Source organism: Homo sapiens, chromosome 8 (assembly GCF_000001405.40).
Source record: "Homo sapiens chromosome 8, GRCh38.p14 Primary Assembly".
Lineage (NCBI taxonomy): Eukaryota > Metazoa > Chordata > Mammalia > Primates > Hominidae > Homo > Homo sapiens.
In genome coordinates this window covers 82,103,272-82,129,852 of record NC_000008.11, presented here as the reverse complement: position 1 = coordinate 82,129,852, position 26,581 = coordinate 82,103,272, and the positions used below count along the sequence as shown (strand labels likewise).

Below are 26,581 nucleotides of genomic sequence, written 5' to 3'. Positions count from 1 at the left end.
GGCTGCCTTCCCTGAGGGCCCCTGTGAGATATAGTCAGGGACAGCTTCCCTGGGTTTGAGCTGGAGACTGAGAGTGTGTCCAAAGCACTTCCTACTGGTGCTTATACTTTTATATTTAGTGTGACTCCCTAAATCTGTTTAGTCTCTAGGTAAGGTTAAATCCGTCTCCCATAATCCGGACTTTTAGATTCCCCGGTAGGGCTGTGTGTTCAGAGGTAGATTCTCCCCCCTCACACTGTGGGGACTTGCCTGTTTCATGGAATTTGCAGTGATGTGTCATTTCTTTCAAAATATCTTGCATTTTTTGGTGTTCCTGGTACATTCCTGCAGTTGTTCTTGGAGCAAAGATCATGGTGTGAGTCTCCACATGCTGTTCTGTCTGTCCATGTGAGGACTGCACATTACTCCTGTCTCCTATCTACCATCTTCCCCCAATCTCTCCAAGAATTTGTTATTCTTTTATGCTATTATTTTGAAATGTTTAAATTTACTATAAGAAGGATCTAATACTAGCTCAGACACCGGCCAAAATTTCTGGACTGCATGTTCGTCTTATTCTTCCCTTTGCTCATCACTGTAACCTCAGTAAGTTCTTCCCATTAATCCAGTTATAATACAAGTATAAAACCATATCTCAAACCAGATAATATTCCTCCTGAGACCAAACCCTAATTCTTAGCCTTGCCAGTAAATTAACCTCCACTAATTTGGTCATCCCTTTTATATAAGTTGTGTCAGTACCAAGTACTAGCACCTTTACATACTAAACCATGGTCCCATAAACCTGCCCTCTCCTGCTATAGTTAGCTTATTGAAAATGCATGTTGAGTTCATTCATTAAACAAATTATTGTACAGTGTTACAATGAGTTAAACTTGGGAAGTGATACAAAGAGGATCAAAATAAAGCCCTCATCTTCAACAATTTTATATTCTATTGCAATGAATATCCAAAAGGCATTAATTTTAGTAGGCCACTTAAATCACATATCATTTATAAAAATACAGCAACAGAAAAGAGTACCTTACTCAAATTGGAAGATGGGAAACCTTCATCAGTGTAATGTCCATAAGCCCTAGTTGCCCTGAATAGTCCTTGTTTACACTTGTTGTCCTGATATATTTTTTAATAGTCTTAATTCACTTTAAACATGTCCTCACTCAGATGATAAATGATGTTCATCAGAAGGTTATATCTTAGTTAATGCTGTTAAGAAAAATGGAGTAAAACCAAATGAAAAAGTAAGAAAAGGGCATTCTAAACAGAGAGTATATCATCATGTGCAAATCATGAAGGTAAAAGTATGAAATGAGTAATTGCAAAAAAAAATCAATATAACTGAAATATGGCATTCAAAGATTGGCAATAATGTGAAGCTGGCAAGTAAAAAAGGAACTACATAAGCCTAATCCTTTAAGTAATAGGGAATGACTGAAGGCTTTCAAGTAGTCAGATGGAGAGAAGAAACATGACACTACATGCACTTGGAAAAAATCTACTGTTGGACAAAAGGTGGAGGAGTGAAATAAGGAATTTGAAGCAACATGATGCTGAATAACCATTAAAACATAGGCTTTTGAATCAGACCTATCCAGGCTCAAGTCACACTCTAATTTAAATCCTGACATTACCTCTTGCAATGCTATTGCAAAACTTGCAAAGCTTCCATTGCAGCTTTGTTGCAAGCACAGACACTAGATTTGGACTGCTGAATCTGATACCTAGTTCACATACTTACTCTCTATGACTTTGGGAAGCTATTTATCCTCACTATGCCTCAGCTTCATTATGCACATAATAAAGAAAATAATTCTCCTTACTTCATAGAGTTTTAATTAAGGTTAAATATGTTAATATAGATATTTTCCTTAGAATGGTACTTGAACCATGGTAAGCACCTTCTGCTCACTTATGTCTTGCTTGAGATTTATTCAAGATGAAATAGATATTTCTTGAAATTTTTCATAATTATTATGAGTTAAATGTTGGCTGACATAACATTTGTAGAAAATTTAAGACATTGCTTAGTACTGAAAAGGAAAGGAAAGAAAAAGAAAAATTAGTGACTTCCAATTCCCAAAACAAGCTCTGCTCTATCCATAACAAAAGAATGGAGCAGCAAAGATACTTCTTTACATGTCACAAGCTTTTTTCCATTTTATTAGCTCAAAATAAACAGTCTTAAAAAATGACAAGAGGAGATCTTTATTGGAATGATATCTTCACAATTATATTAAAGACAAATATCTCCAGCTGTTAACGATAATAGTAACAGCAACAATAGTAGATGATAGAACATCCTTACTATATGTATTTATTTCATTACTAGTGCATTATGACTGTAAGAATTAAAGAAAGAGGAGAGAAACACGAAGGATGGCTTTTCAGTCAACAGGGACAAGTTTATTTTAAACAAACCTGAGAGGGGTGGCTGGACGAGTTAGGTCAGAGCCACACTCTCATACAGACTGAGTTCCTAAGGATTCAGGGTGGGAATGTTTATCAGAGGCTTGGACTGCTTCTGTGTCTCTTTGTTGTGCTTATCTGGAAGGGAGAGTTGTGTGTCTGTTCCCATACATCTTTCTGCAGCCTGCTTTTAGCTTTCCTATGTTAGTGCACCTGAAGGGAAAGGAATGTGCTTATTAAGGCCCACTGTTTTAGTGGGGCCCATTATATGAGGGTGAAGTTTGGCAGTTACCCAAGAGACTTTCCCCCAACCTCCTTCTGTGCCCAAGCTGTCTTATCTGTGTTCTACTGTCTGCTCTTTCTGGCTGCTTGAGTTAGAAGAGAAGAAATTTCCTTGAAATGCATGAGGCTAGAAAGGGAGCTGTACTGTAACTTAAAATGGCGGTGTTTGTCTGAGATGATGGTGCTCCTTTTCTATCAATCACCTTTTCAGATTTGCTTTAAATTTTACAAATTCTTTAATACTGGGTTACTTTCTTCAGTTCATCCCTATCCCTTGGAGCAATTTAAGTTATAAAAATATACATTTTAATATTTAAAGTAGTAGCTGGAAAAAAATATATATTAAATGCACATATACATGTATATTAGACATTATTGGTACTCCACACCTAGCAGGTATCCAAGGGGTTCCCTAGAGCAGCTCTACTTTAATCTATAGCTGTGGCAGACAGTTCTTGGACATACTGTAGACTTCCCTGCCCTAGCTCCTAGGGCATCTTACTCCAAAGGCACAGTCCATAAGTATAGTAGATAAACATTAGAAGCAACTTCAGTCAGTCAGAGATGGGTCTCAGTGAATGGATGTATGCCCCAGACTCACATTCTTTAGTGGGACAATTCTGAGATTCCTTCTACATAGTTTCCCAATAGATCCACAGCAGGACTGTTACCACCTAGAGTAACAATCTGCTCAATAACCCATTTTGCTCAATAACCCATTTTAATTAGCTTTTCATCCATCCTGTCTCATTCTCCCTACTCCTTCACTCCAGCATTCTGGGATCAACCCCCAAGTAATCTGTTCCTAATATGAATCTAAGGATTTGCTTTTGGGATAATCCAAACTATGACAAGAATCCCATTACATTAAAATTTTTAATCTGATCACCTTCAAAATTCAAAAGCATTTTAAATAAATTGGGTGGATAATCACATCAGTTGGCCTCCCTACCTGTCCTCATCTGTTTTCAGATTCATGACTTCCTTTACTTAGAACCACAATCATGTTGTTAATATAAAGAAAATTACATGCATCTTACTATTTCCAGCACCATATCTTTTTTCATCATTACAAAAAAAGAATCTTTTAATTTTGAATAGAAAACATCTATTCAAATATTCTATTGTAGAAAAGAACTTAATATTAACTATTTTGTAATAATTTTCAAGTTTCAGAGGAAATGCATCTCAACAAAAAAATTTTTTAATGTTGGACATATGGTCTCTTATTTTCATGGCCCTTAATCCCAGTCAATACAGCTCACACAATATATTGCTCAAGATTTATTCAACAAAACAGATATTTCTTGAAAAATATGAAAAATATTGTTCACTTTCTTTTTCTGTCAGACTGTTGACACAGTAGTGAATTGTTTATAAAATGAATGCTGTATCTTCCTTTCAGCTGACAGGTCTCTGTAGTTTTCTGTTTATTAGTTTTGTTTGTTGTGATTTAAAATGCAGGATCTATTTTTCCCCAGTGTTGTTGTCTTTATTTTTTTTCCTTAGTGAGCTAGAAGAAGATACACAGAACGTTTGCATTTACAAGTAACTATAGAGATGTCCTTCAAACCCACTTTGAATTTCCATTAAGCTCTCCTTGCACTCCTCAAATCTTAGAAATGTAAAATAATGTAATGCACAACTTAAGCCTTTTTTAGCTCTTTGTGTTAAAGTTATACAATATAGAAATTTATTTCCAGGGTCAGCGAAGTCATGTTATTGAAATCTCTTTAAACTGTTGGCATTACAATGAGAACAAGACTAATAGTATATTCAAAGCCATTATCTTTAAAAAGGGACATATTTTGTCATTCATCTTTCCACCCATTCATCCATCCATTCGTCAAACTTGTATTAAGTATCTATTAAGCCAGGCACTGAGCTAGGTGCCAGAAATAAATATCTCAGCCCCAACCTTGAATAACCTCAATCTAGTTGGATAAAGAAACATGTAAAAAATAGTTGACTTCTAATGTGACGGGTGTTTTAATAGAGGTGTTTTCTAGAGATGAAGGGGATATGGGAGCATGGAGACCCTAATTCTCTCCAGAAAATTTCACTGAGGAAGTCATATTTGAGGTGAGCCTTGAAGGACAGGTTATGCAGACAGGAAGGGAAGGTGAACATTTCAGGCACTTGCAAAGGCAACAATAAATAATATGCTTTAAAAAATTTTCATAAACAAGCTTGGTTTGTGACATGGTAAATCTTAATACCCCCAGGATATTGAGGCAAACTTATCCAGTAAAATAGCTGAGCAAAGTAGAAGTCCAGCCCCTCATAGCTGGTTGGTTTGGGGGCCAGGAATGGAGGAATCCTTGCCCATGTGCCTCCAGGAAAACGAATCCCCCACCACCCCATTCTCACCTGTGGGCTTTACTCTGTGCTTGTGCCAATCAGGGTAATTGTACTGAGGGCTTGAAGTGCATGTGCTCTGACGTAGTAGGGGGTTCATATTTAAAAATCTAGTTTAGAAAATAGATTTGGGCAGGATAGACAGAGGTGGAAGGTATTCATGCTTTTTAGTGGTAGCTGAATGTTGTGGATAAGGTTTCCCAAAAATGGGATATAGAATGAGAATAAACTTACTGAGCTTAAGAAGATCTAGCAATAGAAATGATTTAGACAAAGTAAAGAAAGAACCAAAATTGGTTCAAAAACAGATATTTCTAAAAAAAAGTCAAATGTGACAAATACCAAAGTGATAAAGTAAGAAGAAAACTGTAAGATTTCCAACTTGTAAATTAATATAATATTTTATTTATGGCCATTGATAAGTTGTGTAAAAATATTCATACTTCCCAGATGAAAATGGAAAATTCTAAAAGTCAGTAACATTAACCATGAAGTATTTCCAATGCCAGTATGGACATGATATGTCATAATAAAGTTAGAGTTCCTGTATATTGAGATGATAACCTAGCATGTTTTGAATAGCACAATTGAAATTCAAAAGATGAATTGGCTGCTGTTCTATACCTACACATTCTGCTTTTTCTAAACAGAACACATTTACTCTGTATTTCTATTTTTTCTAATTTGATATATGTAGTCTGAGAGCTGTCTGCAAGCACTTAGTGATACATGACTTAAGACTTCAAAGTAGCAAGGTTGTCCTACTCTCAAAGCTAATAATCATCTAGCATCCCATTAACTAGAATTAATTTTGTCTGAACAGGGAAGCAGATATATGGTGAATAACAAGCCCCTTTGCCTAGGTTGTGTGTGTGTGCACATATACATAGACATATATGTATATTAAAATAATATATTTTAGAATATATTACAGATTATAGATATATGCTAAAAGATAATTATGTAAACTTCAAGCTACCTTTATGTTTCAGGTGTATTATATTAAGCAGTATTCCCTTTAAAAAGACCATATAAATAAGAATAATATTTGTTTACCCACAGGAAAAGAACAAAGAACCTCAGAATATCTGACTGAAATAATGATTTCTGTTAATAAAACATCTTACTATACATGGGATTATAAAAATCAGGAATGTGTCCTCAAAGAAAAGTCTTATCCCTAGTAGAATAAAAAATAATCCGAGGCAGGCAGATCTATTGAGGTCAGGAGTTTGAAACCAACATGGTGAAACCCTTTCTCTACTAAAAATACAAAAATTAGAGAGGCGTGGTGGTGCATGCCTGTAATCCCAGCTATTCGGGAGGCTACACGTTACATGCAACAACTATTTTCAATTATGTTTATTTAAAAACATTTACAATCAGTATAGCTTTCTATTTTATTGCCCGTGGTTTAGGAGGCTTCAATCAACATTTGATATTGATAATGATAATGACCATACTAACAATATAAACCAAATACTCCATGTTACTTTGATCACACAATTATTTCTCTATCAATGTTTTGTTATTATCTAAGAAAAATAGTAATTAGATTTCCTTAAGCCCTTGGCATGAGATATACTCTATGCTTAATTTCAGTCCTGTGTTAACTGAATTAGTAGTTTCAGCAGTTGTACTCTCAAGGTAACCTTGGTAAAGTATTCAGTTAAAGGGAGTACAGCTATTAAACCGTATAGCTGGTTCTAAACTAGGCCTCTTTAAGGCCAAAGTTTGTGCTCTTAATCACTATGCTGAAATCAGCAAACTCAAAAGATTGTTAACCAACACATCTATGTGTTAACAAAAAATGCATACTCTCACTTTGAATATTTGATGGCAAGAGGGAAACGTATTTGCCCTTTATTGTCCCTACCTGCCTCAACCACTCTTGATGGATTTTGAAATACAAAATAAACAATTTCAGTCCAAGCGCAGTGGCTTATGCCTGTAATCCCAACATTTTGGGAGGCTGAGGTGTGTGGATCACCTGAGGTCAGGAGTTCTAGACCAGCCTGGCCAACATGATGAAACTCCGTCTCCACTAAAAATACAAAAAATTACCCTGGAGTGATGGTAGGAACCTGTAATCCCAGATACTCAGGAGCCTGAGGCAGGAGAATCTCTTGAAACCGGGAGGCAGAGTTTGCAGTGAGCCGAGATCGCACCACTGCACTCCAGCCTGGGGGACAGAGTGAGACTTTGTCTCAATAAATAAAGTAATTAATTAATTCATACCAGAGAAAAGAATGAGAGGTGTATCAGAGAATGGAATAAATTTCAGAAAATGTTTCAAAGATGAAGGTATATGCAGGTAGATTTTCAGATGAAAGAGCAGGAATACAACAAAACCAAAGGCCAGAATATGTCATAAAAATATTGCTGAGTAGGCTGAACATATTCTCTTGAAAATTGCCCAAGGAGGATTTGGGCTCAAAGTCAACTGGTAGAACAAAGGGCCAAAGTGAAAAATAAGACTGAAAACAAGAAGATTCATTAAAAATATTTACATACAATAAATTTACCAGTTAGTAACTTAATTTCTTCTCCAGAACCAAAGCAAAAACAGGCAGACATTTCCCCAGCTATGACACTTGATAGCATGCACTAAGATTATGAAATAATATGTTTGGAGAGAGCCAAAGTATGACACTAAAGTAAGCACTCTCCACATAGTCTTATTATTTTATTTGTGTGGCCCACAGTTTACCAGACAACTATCTATCTATTCCTCCAGATCTATCAGTCAATATGCCCCATTCCATCCCATACCTTGCTTCAAGTTAAATTTCTCAATTGCCCAAGGAAACAGATCTACATAAAAAGAGTCAAAGGAAATCACACTTTCATAATAGCTGTCTTAAATATGTACAGATAATTAAGAATCACTATATATAATATTAGAAGCATCAAAGTTAAAATTTAAAATAAACATAGTAAAAGTGATCATTGGAAAAAAATACGACTCCAAGAACAGAAAACAGCCTTTAAAAATCTTTAGACAGGGAGAGGGATAGCATTAGGAGAAATACATAGTGTAAATGATGAGTTAATGGGTACAGCAAACCAACACAGCACATGTAAACCTATGTAACAAATCTGCACATTGTGCACGTGTACCCTAGAATTTAAAGTACAATAAAAAAAAGAAAAAAGAAGCTTTAGTTATATAATCAATGATTTTAAGAATATATCATAAAATAGTAAAATAATAACAGAATGATATTTATTTAAACATAAACAAGAAAAAGCTCTTAGAAAAAAATTCTCCAAAAAGGAATAAAATTAAACTACAAAATAGAGTAGAAGAAAGTTCCTAAAATATTTTAAAAATGCAGAAAGAGAAAATATGAAAGAAAGAATAAACAAAACAGAAGAATCTTCTAAGAAATCCAACATGTGAGAGTAGAAGGGAACAAAGAAAAATGAAAGGGGAGTGGATGCATCAGGCAGAATTCCTGATTTTACCCCAAGACTGTGAATATGATGAGATATGATGAGATTTCACTCCCGTGACTATATTACATTCCTCGGCAAAAGGGATTTTGCAGATGTGATCAGTTAACTTCAAGTTAATCAAAAAGGATATTGTCTAGATGAGCTCAATCTAACGGTACAAGGCTTTTAAAAGCAAAGGATCTCCTCTGGCTAATAACTGAAAAGGAAGTGAGAGATTTTAAGCATTAAGGGGATTCAACCTGTCATCTCTGGCTTTTAAGATGGAATGCGGCAGTGTGCCAAGGAACACAGGTAGCTTTTAGAAGCTGAGAGTGGTACCTGGATGATAGCCATCGAAGAAATGAGGACCTCAGTTCTGCAGTCACAAGGAACTGAATTCTGCCAACAACCTGAAAGAGCAAGGAAACAGATTCTCCCCTACAGCCCCCAGAAAGGCATAGCCCTACTAACTAAATTGTGATTTCAGCTTTGTGAGGCCCTAATTGTAGAACCCACTGGAACCCACCTGAACTTCTGACCTAAGGAACTGTAAAGTAATAAATGGGCATTGCTTCAAGTCATCAGATATTTGGTAATTTGTTACATAGCAATAGAAAGCTAACAGAAGGGAAATGATGATGGATGATGATAATGATTATAGTAATAGAGAATTCCACAGATCTGAGCAGGCCATGAGTTTTCAAATCAAAATGACCCAAGCGGGGAATAGAAGCTACTTACAGAAAAATTAAGACTGAATGGATATCAGAGGCTGTAGACCACCAGTGACTAAGTGTCCAGTTTTTTAATACAGACATTCTAATTTGAATCCTGACATGGCCACTTAGTAGCTTTGTGATCTTGGGTATGTTACTTAACCTGTCAGTGCCCAAGTTTCTTTTTTGTAGAATAGGTATAACAATATTACTGCATAGTGCTGTTGTAAGAATTCAATGATTACATACATATAGATATGATGTAGGTACAAATATAAATACAAATATAGCTTTGGTGCTAATAATTTCTGGCACAAATTAACCACTTGATATGTTTAAGCTCTTATTTTCAGATATTTCATCAACAACACTAGATACTCAAAGGTAATGAAATAATGTCTTCAAGTTTCTCAAGGGAAAACATATTTCAAAATTAGAATTTCAAGTACTGTAAAACTATTAAGCAGATTTAAAACCAAGATATTTTTAGACATGTTTATATAATATACCTGCTATAGGAAATTTTTTTGAATCTATAATACTACAAGAATATGAGGAAAGGAAAGATGACTTGAGATCCAGGCAATGAACCAAACTTGGGTGGTAATAAAGGAAAATATCTGAATGATTGTTCTTCTCTAAAAATAATTACCTGTCTATATTGTAGCAAGGAGGCAATATTAGTTAAAATAATGTATACTATGTATATTGTTTAGAACTTTTCATTTCTATCTATATCCAACCCATGGTAAACTTAGTAATGGTTTCAGGATAAAATATCAAAATTACCAGCTTGATAACATGAAGGTAAAGTGGAAAGTAGAGGGAAAAAAGTGGAGACTGCAGCTGGAATAATAAATGTATTATTTAAAGTTTAAAATGCAACCAACAGAAGAAAATAATTACAATAAAAATAAAATAAGGGCCCAGCGCAGTGCCTCACGCCTGTAATCCCAGCACTTTGGGAGGCCGAGGCAGGTGGATCACCCGAGGTCGGGAGTTCAATATCAGCCTGGCCAACATGGTGAAACCCTGTCTGTACTAAAAATACAAAAAAAAAAAAAATTGGCCAGGCCTGGTGGCGTGGGCCTGTAATCCCAGCTACTTGGGAGGCTGAGGCAGAAGAATCACTTAAGCCCAGGAGGTGGAGGTGGCAGTAAGCTGAGATCACGCCATTGCACTCTATCCTGGGCAAAAAAAGCCAAACTCTGTCTCAAAAATAATAATAATAATAAATAAAATAATAAATAAAAAATAAAATAAGAAGAGTAGGAGGAGAACAAGAGATGTAAGTGAACTACTCCCAAACACTCCTATTTTTCTCCTGATGCTTTGGGTAGCTGCTGCACTGCCTGAGCCAGCCTCTCCATTACTTCACTAGAGCCCACTCAGCCTCTTTTCAAGAAGGACATTACTCTCAATTCCCCCTTCTCCCTTCTGCATAATCATTTTTCTTCCTTTCCTGGATCCTTCCCATTGATGTACACACATAAGTTCTTACACCCTAACAAAACAAATGAAAACAAAAACTTTTCTTGACTATATATCCTACTTCAGTCAACTACACCCCATTTTTCCAATCCCCTTAGAGCAAAACTCCTCAAAACTGACTGGATTCATTGTCTTGGACTCCTTTCCCTGTACTCTCTCTTGACCATACTCCAATCTAGCTTTTCCCCCAACCTCTACATTTAGACTCTCAGAATAATGCCTGAAAATAACAGCTACAATAAAAGTGACATTTTATGATAAGCAATCAAAAGATAATTTTTTAAATTGGTAAAGCAAAAAATAGAGATGTAACCATATTAGTTACTTAAGAATATCAGAAGGAGAGCAATAATTCAAAAAGATTTTCCCTGAACAATGGGTCAAGGGTTAGGAGAGAAGAGCCTAGTAATTTTACGTTTCACCACAAGTTCTTCTGATCTCATTGACTGATTAATATGTGTACATATGATCTGAGAAAATAATTTTAATTTATAACAGCGTTCACTTTCTGCTGTTAGCTACAGAAGTTTCAGATTGCCACACAGGAAACTAAGAGTTATCTTTTTAAAAAGTCATCTGTCTTTATGATACCTAAAAGTAGAAACTTCTATTATAGTTGGATACTTTTACTCAGGAAAATGCTATTACTAATTATCTGAGGACCTAAAATGACAGACCAACATAAAATGACAATAGAGGGCTGATACAAAATGACAGCCTCAGGATTTTAATCTCATGCTGTTCCAAGTGACATTTATAATCAGTACATTTTTAAAATCATTATCTGTTATAATGCAAAAATGTAACTATGTAATAACAATAATTACAACAACATTAGCCACTGGATAACATGTGGATAGGACCTGGATCAGAAAATGTTCTGAACTGGCCGGGTGCAGTGGCTCATGCCTATAATCCCAGCACTTTGGGAGGCCAAGGTGGGCAGATCACCTGAGATCAGGAGTTCGAGACAAGCCTGACCAACATAGTGAAACCCCCTCTCTACTAAAAATACAAAAATTAACCGGGCATGGTGGTATGCACCTGTTATCCCAGCTACTTCAGAGGATGGGGCAGGAGAATCACTTGAACCTGGGAGGCAGAGGTTGCAGTGAGCCGAGATCACACCATTGCACTCCAGCCTGGGCAACAAAGTGAGACTGTCTCAAAAAAAAAAAAAAAAAAAAAAAAAGAAGAAGAAGAAGGAAAGAAAAGAAAAGAAAGAAAGAAATGTCTAAACAAGATATTGCACAGGCTATGAGGAGGAGAGCAAGTGAGGACCCCATAGTGTCCTTCTTGGTCAGCTAAAGCACAGAAAAAGATGGCATAAATCAAATGCATGACCCAGGAATAGGGAGATTCCCATTTCACCTGAATCAAACACACACATGCATACACAAATACACACCACACACACACACCACACACACACACACCACACACACATCACACACACCACATACACATACACCACACACACACACAGCACACACCACACACACCACACACACACACCACACACACACACACCACATACACCACACACACACACGCACCACACACACCACACACACACCACACACACACCACACACACCACACACACACACCACACACACCACACACACACACAACATGCCTCCTGTAAATTTTTCACATGGGAAGATCTCATGTCTTTTCAAGATGAGTAATAATCAAAAAAGATTCAGCACAGGATCTATGCAAAGAATTACTAGTACATAGAAGAAAAGAAACAGACTTTTTTAATTAAGAAAGTTTTCCTGTGGATCAGTTAAAAATTTAGGCAAAGGATTTTCCCAATCACTCAAAAAGACAAACTTATAAGTTCCGATATTTAAAACAGCTCATATTGTAGTTCTATTTTTAATGTTTTTAAGAATCTTCATACTGTTGTTCATAATAGCTATACTAATTTATATTTCCACCAACAGTGTGCAATAGTTTCTTTTTCTCTATGCCCTCACCAACATTTGTTATCTCTTGTGTTTTTGATAATAGCCATCCTAACAGACATAGGGTAATATCTCATTGTAATTTTGATTTGTATTTCCCTGATAATTAGTGAAGCTGAGAACCTTTTCATAACCTGTTGGCCGTTTTTATGTTTTCTTTTTAAAAAAATAGAGTCTATTCAGGTCCTTCACCCATTTTTCAATAAGATTATTTGTTGGGGGTTTTTGGTCATGTTTCTTATATATTTGGAATATTAAACACATTATCAGATACATGGTTTGCGAGTATTTTCTCCCAATGTGTAGGCTATCTTTTTATTTTGTTGATTATTTCCTTTAGTATGCCGAAGCGTTTTAGTTTGATGCAGTCCTGCTTGTTTATTTTTGCTTTTGTAGCCTGAGCTTTTGGTGTGATATCAAATGATTATTGCCAACTGCTTTGGTTTTAATGTTTCCCTCCAAAATAGATACACTGTAACTTAAACTACCAGCATTTCGATCATAACAATTTAACAAGTCTCCAGGAAGTTCCAGATTTTCCCTTACATTCTTGTCTTCTGGGCTCTCCAGACTGTTCCAACCTCTGCTGGTTATCCAGTTCCAAAGCTGCTTCCACATTTTCAGCTGTTTTTATAGCAATGCCCCACTCTTGGTACTAATTTTCTATATTAGTTCATTCTCACATTACTATAAAGAAATGCCTGAGACTGGATAACTTAGAAAGACAAGAGGTTTAATTGGCTCACGGTTCCACAGGCTGTACAGGAAGCATGGCTTGGGAGGCCTCAGGAAACTCCTACTCATAGCAGAAGGAAAAAGCTTGAGTAGGCATCTTCACAAGCCTGGTGAAGGAGGAAGAGAGAGAAAGGGAAAATGCTACACACTTTTAACCAACCAGATTTTCTGAGAACTCTGTCACAAGAACAGCACCAAAGGGATGGTTCTAAACCATTCATGAAGGATTCGCTCCTATGATCCAGTCACCTCCCACCAGGCCCCACCTCCAACATTGGGGATTACAATTCGACATGAGATTTGTAATCAGACACAGATCCAAACCATATCACCCTCATAAATAGAATTATAGTCCCTTATAATACTATAATCTCAATAGTCTTACAGTCCTTTATAAAAAAGCTTGAGGGAGTAAGTTCATCCCATTTGCCATTCTATCCTTTGCCATGTGAGGACGCAGCATGTGGGCTTTTACTAGAGACCAAATCTGCCAGACCCTGATCTTAGACTTCCCAGCCTTTAGAACTGTGAGACTTACATTTATATTATTTGTAAATTAATTACTCTGTGGTATTTCATTATAGGAGCAGGAATGGACTAAATACCTAAATTAGTACCAAGAAGTGGGATACTTCTGTAACAAATACCTAAAAATGTCTAAGTGGCTTTAGAACTGAGTAATGGGGTGGATAGTAAAGGGTTATTCTGGTGAGGGCTCAGAAGAAGAGATTCAGGCTGTAGAAAGGGCCCCAATCTTCTTAGAGATTACTTAAATAGCCATGATTATAATGTTAGTAGAAATATAAACAGTAAAGGGCATTCTGATGAGGTCTTAAGTGAAAATGAGGAATATCGTATTGGAAACTGGAGGAAAAGCCAACTTTATGATAAAGTGGCAGAGGACTTAGCTGAATATTGCCCATGTCCTAGGGCTTTGTGGAAGGCAGAGCTTGTGAGCAGCTACCTAGGATATTTGGCAGAAGAAATCTCTAAGCAAAATTTTGAGGGTGTGCCATTGCTTCTCTTGGCTTCTTATAATAAAATGCAAAAAGAGAGAAATGAATTCACAACAAAATTTATAGTCAAAAGGCAAACAGAACTTAGAGACTGGAAATTTTTTAGCCTAGTCAGTCCGTGATGAATGAAAAGGCATGTTCAGGAGAGAAAACCAAGGGTATGCCGAGTGAACGTTTCATAAGGAGATTAGTATGGACAGAAGGAAGGCAGATGCTCTTCAGCAAGACAATAGAAGAATGACCCCAAAAGCATTTTGGAGATTATTGAGGCTTCTATAACCATCACTGACTGAGAGTGTCAAGACCTAAGAGGCAGAACTATATCAAAAGAGGGGCCTTGGACACCAGCAAGACCTCAGCACTTGCTGTCCTACACTGCCTCAAGTATCTGCTCTCTGAATTCTGGCACAGACTCCTCAGCTGTCCTACCTGTGGCTCCAGCAGGCCCAGATACAGCTCCAGCCACTCTTCCAGAGGTCGCAAGCAGTAAACCTTCGCAGTGTCCATGTGATGCTAACTCTGCAGACACACAATGTGGACAAGCTGTGAAGGCATGGCTACTTGTACCTAAATTTCTAAGGATACGCCAGAGAGCCTCAAGATCCACAGAGAGAACTGCCACAAAGGTGAAGCCACCACAGAGAGCCCTCACTAAAACAATATCTATTATAGCCATGGAGCAGGACTACCCCTGCAACCTCAGAACTATAGAGCTACCAGCATGCCACCCTTGGAGAGCTGCAGGCACAAGACTCCAATCCCTCAGAACTGCCATATGGGCTGCGCCCAGCAAAGCCAAGGAAGTGGGGCTGCCTGAAGCCTTGGTGGCCCAAGCCCCACTAGAGTGTGTCTGGAAAGCAGGACATGGACTCAAAAATTATTTCTCAAGCCTCAAGATTAATATTGTTTGCCCTGTTGGGTTTTAGACTTACTTAGGACCTATTACCTCTTTTTTCTTTTGTGCTGTTCTCTTTGAAATAGAAATGTCTGTCCTGTGCCTGTCCAACCATTGCATTTTGGATGTACATAACTTATTTGATTTCACAGATTTACAGTAGAAGAGCAATTTCCTCAAGATGAAACACATCTTTGGGACTTATGTATATCTGATTTAGATGATATTTAGAAGAGATTCTGGATACTAGACTTTTGAATTGGTACTAAAAAAAGTTAAAACTTTTGGAGCTATGGGGATAGAATGAATGTATTTTGTATGTAAGAAGGACATAACTTTTGGGAGGCCAAGGGTGGAATGCTGTGGTTTGAATCTATGTGTCCTTCCAAAACTCATATGTTGAAACTTAGACCCCAAGGTGATGGTGTTAAGAGGGAGGGCCTTTAGGAAGTGATTAGGGCATCAGTACTCTCTCAGGAATGAGATTAGTGCCTTTATATAAGAGGTTTCAGAAATCTACCCAGCCTTTCCATCTCCTCCACCATGTGAAGACACAGTGTTCATTGCCTTTTGCCCTTTGCCCTTTTCCACCATGCAAGGATTCCCCAAGTAGATTACATCAATGGGACAAGCCCTCAGTAGACACCAAATCAGCTGGCACATCATCCTGGACTTCCCAGCCTCCAGAGCTTTGAGAAATCTGGATATTTTGTTATGGCAGCCCAAACTGACAAAGACACTGAGACTGATATTAAGGAGCTTTTCTCCTGTGTTTTCTTCTAGAAGTTTTACAGTTTCAGGTCTTATTTTTAGGTCTTTAATCCATTTTCAGTTAATTTTTGTGTATGGTGTAAGATAAGGGCCCCATTGTATTCTTTTGCATGTGGATATCTAGTTTTCCCAACACCATTTAGTGAGGAAACTATTCCTTTTCCCATGTGTCTTCTTGGTGGCCTTGTTGAAAATTAGTTACCCTTGCTTAGATTTATTTATTTCTTGGCTCTTTATTCTGTTCTATTGGTCTGTGTGTCTGTTTTCATGTCAGTACTGTATTCTGATTACTATAGCTTTGCCCTATTGAAACCAACCCAATAGTCTCATAGATAGTTTTTTTTTGCATAAACATAGAAATTGACTCTTCTAGTCTTAAAGCTTGAAACTTACATTCATTTTATCTGACTTCCTTTCTCAGGAAAGGACCCCCAGGCCTCTCAAAATACCAAATAACTGAAACTCACCAGATCATCACATCCAGACAATGAGAAGCCCTGCCCCTCATTCATCATGATTGATTCCTTGCCCTTTCCCAGTTCCTGTTTCCCTATACATAGTTAAATTTCTTCCCTGCCATAGAAACCCCATCTCTACTAAGAATACAAAAATTAGTCAGGCGTGGTGGCGCGTGCCTGTAATCCCAGCTACTTGGGAGGCTGAGGCAGGAGAATTGCTTGAATCCAGGAGGGGGAGGTTGCAGTGAGCCAAGATCGCACCACTGCACTCCAGCCTGGGCAACAGAGCAAGACTCCATCTCAGAAACAACAACAACAACAACAACAACAACAAAGAAAGAAATCCCTAATTTTAGTCAGTCAGGGAGATGGATTTGAGGCTGATCTCCTATCTCCTTAGCTGCAGCACCCAATTACAGTTTTCTTCCTTGGCAATAATCATTGTCTCAGGGATTGGCTTTTTGTGGGGTGAGCAGCAGGAGCTAGGCCAAACCTCTGGTGTTTCAGTAACAATATAATTTGAAATCAAGATGTATGATGCCTCCAACTTCATTTTTCTCTCTCAAGATTGTTTTGGCTATTCAAGGGCTTTTTTGGTTTAGTGCAAATTTTAGGATTTTTTTTTCTATTTCTGTGAAAAATATGATTGGAATTTTGATAGGAATTGTGTTGAATGTGTGTGTTGCTTTGGTTGTATGGACATTTTAACAACATTCATTCTATCAATCTATAAACATACCTTTTTATTTATTTGTGCCCACCAATCTCACTACTGGGTATATTCCCAAAAGAAATTAAAACAGCACCTTCTAGAAATATCTGCATTTCCATGTTTATCGCAGCACTAGTCACAATAGCCAAGGTATGGAATCAAACTAAGAGTTCCTCAGTGGATGAATAGACAAATAAATGGGTATAATGGAATATTGTTCAGTCTTATAAAAGTAAAGCCTGTCCTTTAAAACAACATATGTAAATCTGGCTAGGGACAGGGAGGGAAGGAGGTCAAAGAGTATACATTTGCAGCTATGTAGGATACATAAATCTAAAGAGCTAATGTACAGCATGAGGACAATCGTTGATAACAATTTATCGTATATAGAAAAATTGCTAAGAGTTTATTTTAGGAGCTGTTACCACACATATATACACAAAGGTAACTATGGAAGGTGATGAGTAGAATAATATGCTTGACTACAGTGTTCATTTCACTAGTGTATGTACAGCAAAATTTCATGTTGTACACCTTAATGTATACAATTTAAAAGGAGAGAGAAGACAAAAGAGTTCAAAGCAAAAGAGGTTCAGCAAAAAATGGTAAGATAACAACAACGACAAAAAAAGATAAAAGATGGCAGGAACTAAGAGTTAGCCTTGACACTAAAGTTAAAATTGAGCATGTGTAGGGTTTTTTCCTTATTCTTATCCTAGAAATAGAGAACTCAGGGCAAGGCTCCTGATCCCTGAGACAGATTCTGTAAGATGTTTTTCACTCCCTCATTCACTTGGTATAAAAGACATAAGAAATAAAATCAGAGTCCTTATTTTGTAATCCTGTCACAAAAGGGCTGAGCTAGCAATTTACACAAGCCAGTATTTTTCTTGTCTGCAAAACTGCTTATGAGAACATTTCCACCTTGTACAGACAGCTTTGGATGATATGTTGTTCACCACTGGGTTATTTTAACCTTGACTTCAATTTGGGAGACAGGAATCATGAGGGGTGAGCTAAGCTTCCAATGCCCTTTCCAGCCAATTTTGTTGGTTCTTAGTTTTGTAAAAATACTACTGTGTGTACTAGATCAAGTGGGACAATAAGCAGAAGCTGAAGAGACACAGCTCACTGTATGACATTCCCCTCACAGGTTTTCTCCTACCTGTCTGCTGGAGTGCTCACTTTGAGAGGCCTGGGCCCCCAAGTTGTCCCAGGCAACAAGAGAAAAAGCAGAATGTCCTGCTTCTACACCTTGTGGTCTAGGAAAAAAAAAAGAAATAATAATTCACCCATGTACTTCACCCAACTGCCTCACAGCCTTCCTTACTCAGACAGTGCTGAACTTGATCAGTAATATTTGGGGATTTCAGTTTGTGGTGTAGAATATTTCTAAATCCCAAAGGAAACCAAACATAAAATGCAGCAATCCTTTTCTATTTTTTTCTAGGGAAAAGGTATTAAAACTGAAACATTAATATCAAAAGCAAAGAACTTCCAAATGTAAACACATTATCCTAAATATGTAAAGATTCCTATTTAAATAAAACACCAGTTTTAAGGACCTTTGTGGAAATTACCTTCTTTTCATAGCAGTACTTCTGTGTCTCCCCCAAATCCTTGAAAACACTCACATGGAAGTGTAATTCCTCAAATATTTTTGATATAATACTGACGGTCTTAATCCAGAATGTTAGTACTCCCAGAATGCCCCCATTCTTATCTGCCCCTATACTGCTATGGTCAGCAAAAATGGGAAAAATAATTATAAAATTAAGTGCAAAGTATATAAATTTGTTTGGATTGTTTAGTAATAGTAAAAAAAGGCAGGTAAAATAAGATATAAAAAAGATACAAATCAATGAAATGAATTCCACTAGACATAGTATGAACCCATACAGATATTATTAAGAACACTAGGCTTTTTTTCAATTACATTCTTTTTTGGTTGATACCAAGCAATAACATAATAATCTCAGCAAATTTTAACAAAAAGTGAGAAATAAAAATTATTTTCAAGATTCCAAAAGCAATATATCAATGAAGTTCAAAATTTAAAGGTTAAGAATGGATATCATAGATATTAGTCTAACATAATATATTGGAATATGCACATCAGGGATGCATGTTCTAGATCTTACTCTGAATTTATTCCACGAACTTTCTCTATAGACTAGTTTTGAATGCATGTGTAATTTAGGTAACAGAAAAATAAAAATTAGAAATAATATTTGATGATATAATTTATATATACAGGTTTTATATTTTTATAAGGTATATTTCTGATATTTATATAAACTAAGAAAAAATCTTAGTTCTGTCTACACAAGAATAGGCAACTAATAGCTTCCTGAGGGGCAGAGGAGTATTACACAGATTAGCCAATCCTCAAGCCCAACAACTGCTTATTTAGTTGCGGTTTTGAAAAGTGGGAGAAGAATTTATTAATTCATGTACCCTCTAGGGAAAAAAATATCTGATAACCACAGACAAGACAAGAAATGTTAATTTTTCTGCCCTGAGCATATAACCAGTACAAAAATATGTTGCCTGTTTGATATTTAAATACCATTTAAATGTTTCTGTGCATCTGAAATTTATGTTCAAAACTAATACAACAATGTTAAATGATGAAGTAGTAAGATATAACTTATATTTTATGATTCAAAAAATAGTGTCCCCAGAATAAAATTCTGACATATTTTAGTACATGGAAACTTTGGGCATAGGATTATCTTAAAGGAAAAAAATAAAAACAAAACTGATCGGGAGTTAAAAATTTAAAAGGCTCTTCATTGGGTCAACTATTTATTTGATACTAGATAAATTGCCTAATACAATATAACATAGCACATCAATAATAGGATAGAAGCTAGATAAATTATTTCCTTTTCTTTCCCTAAGAAGAAATATTAAGGTTTCTATATATCTGGCAGATAGATCTGTGTTCCATATGTTTAAATATTAAGCACATATACCAGTGTAATTTCTAGGCCATAATATGAAGTGGACCTAATTTGCATTTATTTCTAGGTTTTCTATATACCCTCCCTTTTCCTTTGGCAAATTCATTCCAGGAATACCTTTAAGTACCAGTGTGAAATCAATAAATTCTTCAAAAGAAATGCCCATGTTTTGTCGTCTCTATTCAGGGAATAAAAATATGCTGAACTGAGCAATCATGGTAGAATGCAAAGAGCATGGGCTTCAACTTCGATGTTTTTTTAAGTCTTACTAGCTATGCAGACTTAAGCAAGGTGTGTGAATTCTCTGAACCATAATTTCCTAGTATGTTCCAGGGATCATAATACCATGCTTTTAGAATTACAGGAAAGATTAGGGAAAAAAGTACTTAACACTGAGGCCAGCACATAGTAGGTGACAGCTGCCAATGAAATGTAGTGACAGAGCCTTTTGAGATTTATATATATATATATATATTATACTTTAAGTTCTAGGGTACATGTGCACAACGTGCAGATTTGTTACATATGTATACGTGTGCCATGTTGGTGTGCTGCACCCATTAACTCGTCATAGGTGGGAATTGAACTATGAGAACACTTGGACACAGGAAGAGTCTTTTGAGATTAATCATTGTGATGGTTAATTTTAATTATCTGTCAATTTGACTGGGCCATGTAATACCCAGATAAACATTATTTCAGGGTGTGTCTATGAGGGTGTCTCTAGAAGGTATTTGTTGAATTGGTGGCCTGAGTAAAACCAATAGCCCTCCCCATTGTTGGTAGGTATCATCTATTAAGGACCTGAATAAAACAAAGGACAGCTGAAGGAGATATTTGCTTCTTATTTTCTGCTTTATTGCATGAGCTGAACATCTCATCCCATTCTCTTCTGCCCTCACCCTGTCCTATTTTTACCACAGGCTCCCCTGTTTCTCAGGCCTCCAGACTGAAGCTGAATTATACCACCAGCTCTCCTCAGTCTCCAGTTTGCAGACAACAGATCATGGGACTTCTCAGCCTCCATAATCACAGGAGTCAATTCCTCATAATAAATCTGTCTGCCCCCTGCTGTGTGTGTGTGTGTGTGTGTGTGTGTGTGGTGTGTGTGTGCTCTGTGTGTGTGTGTGTGTTTCAGGTGCGTCTGATCCCAATACCTATGCTTTTAACCACTATAAATGGAGAAACATTACAACAGGAAACCAAGAGTTGAGAAAGAATTGTAGTGAGGAGGTGGATAAATGGGGATGTTTCCCTACCTTGAACTCAAACCAGTTAGATAGTTGCTACTTGGGAAGCTAATCCACTTATATTAAATATATATAATATAGATGACTATAACAGTTTTGTCAAAAGAGCAAAACTGGGTTATATACACCTTTGACAAAAATTAGCATGAGTGTAGTTACTTCCTGAATACATCTTTCTTTTCATTTAGTTGCTTGGTAAGCAGATACTGCCCCAGCTTATGTGTTCTCCAAACCACAGATACACATATCTGGATTTCCAGGAGGTTTCATGAAGTGCCTCTTAATAGATATGAGATGAGAAAAACACCCACCCCAATACACACACACACACACACACACACACACAGCCCACTAGCACCTTGGGGAAGAGGAAGAACATAAAGCCTACCATGTATGAAGAAATCTATCTCCCACTGCCTAGCCTCTCCAACTTTAATCCCTTTATTGCTTTTGGATGGGTGAGGATGTGTGAGGAAACAAGTGGACAACACTAGTTTGGGGCTATTTCATTTGTAAGTCATGTCTCAGTATTCTGTCTCACTTTCTCATGTGTAGGAGTAAATAGAATCTGTCTTCTTGGGAATTTGCCTAAACTCAAGATTACAAGAGGTCTGTGTTAACATTTCTTGAACCCAAATGTGGCACATATATACCATGGAATACTATGCAGCCATAAAAAAGGGTGAGTTCATGTCCTTTGCAGGGACATGGATGAAGCTGGAAACCATCATTCTCAGCAAACTAACACAGGAACAGAAAACCAAACACCGCATGTTCTCACTCATAAGTGGGAGCTTAACAAAGAGAACACATGGACACAGGGAGGGGAATATCACACATCAGGGCCTGTCAGGCGGTGAGGGGTTAGGGGAAGGATAGCATTAGGTTAAATACCTAATACAGATGACAGGTTGATAGGTGCAGCAAACCACCATGGCGTGTGTATACCTATGTAACAAACCTGCACATTCTACACATGTATCCCAGAACTTAAAGTATATTTAAAACAAAACAAAACAAAACAAAAAAATAACATGAAATTGGATCTCACCAAAGAAAAAAAAAAGAAATGCAAAGTCAAGGGCCCCATTCAAGACCTACTGAATCAAAAATTAAAAGTGGAGCCCATTAATCTCTGTTTTAAGAAGCCCTCCAGGAGATTCTGAAACAAGCTAAAGTTTGTCACTATTTTACAGCATATAATAGATTTTTAATTGCATTATTCAAAATCCTTTACTCTTTCTCTATCCATATAAAATAAATTAACATTCTGTAAAAAAAAAAAAAAACTTCCTTGATCCCTTTAAAAAAATAGAAACTTTGAACTCTTTCATTCAAGAATAAATCCATCTTCTTGTCTCTATCTTCTTCATAAACTTCAATTTTTTATTGCTGATTATACAACAGTGGATCTGTGATGAGGGTAATGACTTCCATTGTAAAGCTATGCAAATGAATTCTAAGCATGTTGTCAGATGATGAAAGGAAAAATGATGACAATTTTATTCTACTTGTTCTAGAGTAAACACTGGTAAACTAATTACATGATACACCTTCAATGAATATCTGTGAATGGAGGAAGAGTCTCTGATTACTGGTTTTGTCTTTATTTCTATTTGATAAATTACATTTAATTGTACTGTAATTAGGAAACACCTTTAGCATTAGAGAAAAATAAGCCATGTAATAAGGTACAATTTCTGAAAACAGCATAAATTCTAATGACTGTAAATAAAGAGACACCCACCACATGATAACTTTGAATTAATCATAACAGTTTGGTTTATATATTTTTTAAAAGATTGCTTTGCATAATATGGAACTTTATTCATAGCATCGTCTGGAATTATTTTTGAAAAAGAAATTAATCAGTCTTAAATGTAGATGCATTTTATAATAGATTAAATCTACCACTCAATGAAACCTTGGAAATATCAAAAATTATCTACCAGATTCTTTTCTGTAATTGAAAGAACTACAAATTAAATCAAGTGTTTAGTTAATTACAATAAAGCAGTAAATTTCAAAGTATCTCTCAGTTGACATATAGCCAGGAATTGCTTATGTCTGAATCTTCAACCCCCTCACAATGCCCCACTGCCTTCCTGCATTTTATACCCAAGACAGCAGGGTGAGATACTTGAAAACCACCTTCAGCAAGGTCCATTTGCCCAAGGATATTTCAGTATCTCTTTTTGGTCAAAATTCAAAAAATATCACAGTGATTGCTACTCATAGCTTGTTTCCATATCCTGTTGTTTAAAATGCCAATAAAGAGCAGACATGACTTTTGGCAGTAATCTTGGTGACTCCAGATCTTGCAAAGCTGTTAGATTAGGAGCAAAGAAACATAGGAGGGAAGAGCATCTTGATGCCTTCCTCCAAACTACTCATCATATACTTTTTCCACCCCTTATCTATTGAAAAGTGAAGAAAAAATTTTTCTCTATGCCACTGTAACCTTTGGAGACCAATGACAAACTTCCAGAGTATGTCAGAGATCATATCTTCTTTGGAAAATCTTAGCATAAAAATTCCAAGATTATTATCTTTTATCAGCTTCTAGCTATAAATTTCCCTTGCATCCCACCTCTGAAAAGTATCTATATTATATTCATTCCACTCAATTTTATTACTTTATGATTAAAGTGTCTCTACTGAAATGGTATTTAAAATCTCTTTGCCACCACTCTGGAACACTTGCCTCATCTACTGAAGGCTTTTTGCCTCATGGTCTCAATCTCCACTCCAATTTATGCTTGCTTTGGACGATTTCAAGTTGGCATTGATAACTCAAACCCCAGACCAGTCTTGTTATTGCCAAGATTTCCATTTTGCCTCATTATTCCTGGAGAAAGAAGATGATCTGATATGGTAGTCATTCCTATTCAGACAAGACACTGACATAAACATTTCCAGCTACTGAAAAAAGCCAAAGAGGAGAATAAGAAGAGTAAAGACAAAAGGCAGATTTAAGTGTCCTTGTCTCCCACTCATTTGGTGTTGAGCTCCTCTACCAAAAGACCTTTTGGAAAAAAAAAAAAAGAAATAAAAACGAGATCCCTTGAGTTGAGGAGAAACATTTATAAAAGGAATTTTTTAACTAATTAATGGAAAATTTGCTCCAAATGAGACGTTAAAACAGAAGATTGAGTTAGCCTCTATTGGTAAATTTGTTTTCCTGCCCTGAAGAAATGAGAAGTCTAGCTCAAGATGAATTCAGAAATTAAAAAATTCAGAAACATTTTTGCATTTGAATTCATCATAATTCCAGTCTACCAATTAGAGTTCATGGTTCATTAGTTTAGTCATCCTTTTGCTAATATGCTGAACCAAATTTCCCCTATTGTCCTTTAGTTACACCTCTGCCAACATCCTAAGCCAGGATGCATCCATCCTTCTGCCTCCCCTGTGCAAGCTGCGGAGCTGATGGGAAATTTTACACAACTGAGAAGATTAAAACCATTATAAGCTAAACTGGGTCCTCAGCCCTTCCCTGGGATTCTGTTATGTTTCGCTTGTTCACTCATCTTCTGCCATTTCTCTCTCTCCCAAGAAATTATCTCACTACCTATTTTCTCTACATATTTCACAGAGAATATAAAATTCAGAAGACAACCCTCTCAACTTTGCACCACCACAGCTGTGGGCCTACCTGAAATAGCTCCCTATTTTCCATCTTTCTTTCCATTACAATGAATGAGGCAGCCTTATTCCTTAAGGAAAAAATATTTCTTCAACCTTAAAGAACCCCCCCCCCCAAATATTGATCTAGCTTCTCCTTTTCCTCACAGGCAAACCTCTTTAAGGAGTTTTCTGTGCATAATAGTCATCGTGTCTTTATTCACATTTCTCTCTTAAATCTGCTCTAACCTGAAAATCTGTCCCATAGCACAGGTGACAATGTCCCTGTGTTCCTGAACATTAGGGGCCAGGTCTAAGGCAACTGAGAAAAGTATCAACTTCTATTTTATTCTGATGTAGTTGCCACATCATCCAAGAGAAACCCTACAGTCTAAAGAGCATAGCAAGGAGGCCAAATGTACATCCACGCCTTACAAGGAGAGCTTCTCCTCCCCGCACTGCTCCACTCCTCATGTCTCCAACTCTTTCTCTTCTCCCAACTCCTGAAACACTTTGATCATGCTGTCAGAAGACCTTCCTTACTTCACTGCTATCTTCATTGTGCTGTGGCTTCTCTTACATGCATTCCCTTATTATGATGACAGGGTGGGTCTTCACAGTTTGACAGACTTCCACCCTTAGACTTAGTGGGCCTTGCTTTAATTTTGGCTAGGCTTTTAACTATCTGAAAATGGGAATGTTTCCATAAAAACATATTAGCTTGTGAATTTCACCTTACAACAGAATAAATACAGTTTGTTTACATCACATATTTACCACCCATGCACATTCCACCACAGTTCTCACCTCTCATGACAAGTGCACTGACACTCAATATCTAAGTTCAGAAGAGATTTTTATTATTACTTTATTTAACTTTACAGTGGTATTTGAAATGCTTTATTACCAATACTGATATACTCATCTTTTGTCTCAGGCCACTCCTTTCAGACTCCTTTTCCAGCTCTTCCTCCTCAATTTGACTATTAAGTATTGGAATTGCCCAAGGCTCCAAACTAAGCCTCTGCATTAGTCAGGGTTCTCTAAAGGGACATTACTAATAGGATAGATGTATATATGAAGCAGAGTGTATTAGGGAGAATTGACTCACATGATCACAAGGTGAAGTCCCATGATAGGTCACCTGCAAGCTGAGGAGTAAGAAAGCCAGTCCTAGTCTCAAAACCTCAAAAGTAGGGAAGCTGACAGTGCAGCCTTCAGTCTGTGGCCGAAGGCCTGAGAGCCCCTGACAAAGCACTGATAGAAGTCCGAGAGTTCAAAGCTGAAGAACTTGGAGTCTGATATTCCAGGGCAGGAAGCATCCAGCACGGGAGGAAGATGAAGGCTGGACGACTCAGCAAGTCAGCTCCTTCCACTTTCTTCTGCCCACTTTATTCTAGCCACACTGGCAGCTGATTAGATGGTGCCCACCCAGATTGCAGTAGGTCTGCCTCTCCCAGTCCACTGACTCAAAGGTTTATCTCCTTTGGC

General features: G+C 36.9%; 1 long non-coding RNA gene across 2 annotated transcripts in view; it reads left to right on the top strand.

Annotated features, from left to right (window-relative positions):
* The window catches only part of LINC02839 (long intergenic non-protein coding RNA 2839), a 51,947-nt gene extending 30,661 nt beyond the window's left edge, over window positions 1-21,286 (top strand). For both annotated transcript variants that reach the window (NR_183481.1, NR_183479.1), the window contains exon 3: window positions 21,140-21,286. This is a non-coding gene — a long non-coding RNA (long intergenic non-protein coding RNA 2839). The remainder of the gene's footprint in view (window positions 1-21,139) is intronic.
* Window positions 21,287-26,581: the final 5,295 nt, after the last annotated feature.